The 3,557-nt window shown below is 47.6% G+C and overlaps 1 annotated feature.

Moving 5' to 3' along the window:
* Nucleotides 952-1,151: an enhancer, noted in NCBI's record as "active region_16520". NCBI's record gives its function as "activates an Ori minimal core promoter by ATAC-STARR-seq in GM12878 lymphoblastoid cells {active_cell/tissue: GM12878}" and the evidence as "EXISTENCE:reporter gene assay evidence [ECO:0000049][PMID:35858748]".

The following is a 3,557-nucleotide window of genomic DNA, read 5'->3' as shown; positions in this document are numbered from 1 at the left end:
TGTTGGCCAGGCTGATCTTGAACTCCTTACCTCATGATCTGCCTGTCTCGGCCTCCCAAAGTGCTGGGATTACAGGCGTGAGCCACCATGCCTGGCCAATTTTACATTTTTTTAAAAAAAGCTCTGTGCCTTTTGTTCCTTGTTCGAATGGTTAAGAACATGAGGAGGGAGGTAAGGCTCCAACACTGGTCTACTGTCTCATTTTAAACCTGTCTACTACAATGCTCCCTTTGGGTCCCCAAACACCAAGCCAGAAGGTACAGGTCCTTATTTATTTATTTCCCATATCTTCTCAGTGAGTTGATTCTCCAGCATATCTGCTAGTTGAGCACTTGCCTTAATATCCATTGTATTTGCCCCCTTGCCAATCCCCTGGCCTGCTTTCTCCAAGTAATAAGTTTTGATATTGAGGCTTGCTCACTTAGGTGGCTGCACACTTTGCTTTCACTGTCCACTGACCCTTGGCTGAAATTCCATTGATCAGCTTCCCCTACACTTTAACTTGGCCCTGCCCACCTAATGTTGAGGAGTCTATTTCTCTATTGTGGAAACAGAGAAAATGACATAGGGCAGAATCTTTTGAACAGCACATTAGTAAATCTGAATTTTATCAGATAGCGAATGTAGAACTAGTTGAAGAGGAGAAAAATAAGAAAAGTCCTATGAGAATGTGACTACAGGGCAACAGGTGGAGAGAATTCATTTGCAGGAAACCTACTCAGTGCCAAGTACATTAACTTGGCACTCACAGCAACCCAAAGAGAAGCTGTGTGTGTGTGTGTGCGTGTGCATGCACATGCGTGCACGAGTGTGGGTGTGTGCATGCATCCACTTAGGAGCTCACTGCTTTCATGTGATTTGCTCAAATTTTCAGTGAGTTTCCCATTGGCTATGACTGTAATTAACCCCACCATCAAACTACCGTAAGTACTGACTCCACCTCACCTGTAGATGTTGGCTGGTGCAGGGGTCTGTACTCTTGCAGGTGGGATAGACACCTCTACTGCTTTTGGCTGGGCTCGCTCACATATCTGAGGGTCAGTTGGCTGCAGGCCAGTCCAGATGGACCTCAGCTGGGCCAGCGTGGCCCCTCCCCACGAGCTGCTCAGACATGCATGTCTCCCACTTCCCTTTAGTGGGCCAGCCCAGGCACATTCTCTAGGGGAGGGCCTCGGTGGGTTTTCTTTTTGTTGTTGGTTTTTGTTTTTAATAGCAATGACAGGGAAGTGAGAGAGTGAAATGCATATGCACTTTGTCAAGACTTTGCTTTTGTCATTCTTGCCACTGATCAGGCCCACAGTGAGAGGGAGGGGACTATAGAGTCTCATGGCCACACATACAGATGCCAGGAGTCCATGAATGTGATCAGTCAAACTCACTTAGTATGAAGAGAAACTGAAACCATAACCTTCTGGGCCCCCAGATCCATGGGTAGCACCCCAGATGACACTGCTTCTCTGGAAATAGTACTTCAGATATACCTTGGGATGGGCAGGTATGCACTCATAAAACACATAATTGATGACCATTAAAATTCTAACCAGAATCTGGGCTGCCAAGAACTGAACCCCGCTCTGCCTGTCACAAAATGGAAGGGTTAGGAATGCAGCTCCAGCAGCCTGTGGAGTCAAGAGGAGCCACACACCCTGCCCTCCTTCCAGTCCTGATACTGCCCTACAGCTTCAGAATTCTGGTTATAATTTAATATCTTTTCTTACTTCCCTGAGATACCTCCACATCTTAAAGACAATCTGAGAACCCTGAAACTCAAGTCAGAATGAAGCCCACTCTTGGAATCCATCAGAGGCAGCTGAGATGCAAACGGCATTAACTGAATTCCTTTAGACATGTCAAAAGAAATCTTGTCTCTCAGGTAGATAAAAATTAATGAGACATCCAGGATGCTTTTATCTAATTTATTATATGTAGCAATGCTGGGATCTTTCTGGGGACTGTAATATTTAAAGTTACGTTTCATTATGAAAACTTGTAGAGGATGTGCAAATTACATTTGTTTAATTCCACAGCTATGAAATGCCAGGCACTTGATGCCTTTGAATATTGGCGCCGAGTGACTTTGAAAACTTGAAAGATCTTGCTTAATTTTCTCCAGGCTTTAACTTTTCAACGAATAAGTGTTGATAGAACAAGGACCCCTGATAATACAGGCCATGCCGGATGGAGAAGGAATTCTCTTCTGAATCCTCAGAGCCTAATTTCCAGATAGCCATTCCCTACAGCACTTCAATTTGCACGGCGAGCTTTTGTTCCCATAGTGTATTTCCTTCCCTTAAAGTGACTCAGGACTCGCCAGAAGATCTGCCCTCCATGAGAATGGAAAGGTGTCCAGTTTTCAATTCATGGTCAACAAGCATTTACGAAGCTCAAAGTCTGTGGCAGATATTGCGGCAGAGCCAGGGTGTGAAGGTTCATGGGGCGTGTTCCAGCTTGGGTCAGCTCCGGGTTTAGAATGCAGGTGTGCTCACTAGCATGCGCCAGGAAACACCAGGAGCATGCGGGGAGGGTTGAGGGAAGGCGAGTTCTGTTCTTCCTGTGCCTTGCCTACCACCTTTTTTAAGAGGAACCTCTACCATTCCTGAAGCCTCCACCCTCAGGGATGGCTCAGGTGAGTCCATGTACCACTGGCTCAGGATTCAACCCTGTGAGCCCACCCAGCTCCCTGCAGGGCTTTTGGGAGCCCAGCAACTTCACAGCCCCTGTGTGTGCCTCGGTACCTTTGCATGGCTTGTCCCTCAGTCTGAAATGCCCTCCCCAGCCATCCATCCTCTCTGTAACCTCCCACTCCCCTTTTAAGATCTGGCCTAGATGTCATCTCCTCTGAAAAGTGGAGCCCATCGCCCTCCCTCCAGGAGTGCCAACTCCTTCCCCAAGTTCTCAGAGCACACAGGACCAACCTTAACTATAGTCTCCAGCACAAGTCCAGACTGTGCCCAGAAAGTGGCTGTCAGGCCCTTCTCACCTTCATAGCCAGGAACCTCATACAAAGCTTGTCATGGGTGCTGAAAAGTGACTGTGAAATTCAATCATGTGGCGATTTTTTGTTTTCACTTTCATCTCCCTCACTGGATTCTAAACAGAGACCGCATCCAACCACTCATTTTATTTCCTATGTCTAATACAAGTCCTGGCCCAGAATGGAGGGCTGATAAAGGCAGGCCTCTGCATTTGTATGAATGAATGAATGAATACTGAAAACATGTTCCCCGCAGTGATGTTCTCCATATAGCTCCCTTCTGGGCCATGTCAAAGATCCTTTTCCTCTCCTGAAAGCTTCAGAGTTTATAAGATACCCTCTGAGTCCTTGCCAGGGACCTGGATGACAGGAGAGCCTCCAGCTCCTATGAAGCCTTCCTGAGCTCCCAGCAGGTTGGGCCCTGGGCTTCACAGCCCTTTTCTCTGTCTGAAGTCTGCAGGCAGCTTGTTTCTGTGTCAGGCTGCCTGCTCTGCCAACCGTCACCCTCAGTGCAGGCATTGCCCCCAGCACATCATGTCAACTGGCACCCTCTTGGGCTCAGTGGAACAGTGAGGCCCTGGGC

The sequence above is a fragment of the Homo sapiens genome, chromosome 2 (genome assembly GCF_000001405.40).
Source record: "Homo sapiens chromosome 2, GRCh38.p14 Primary Assembly".
NCBI lineage: Eukaryota > Metazoa > Chordata > Mammalia > Primates > Hominidae > Homo > Homo sapiens.
This window is presented reverse-complemented; position numbering and strand designations above follow the sequence as displayed.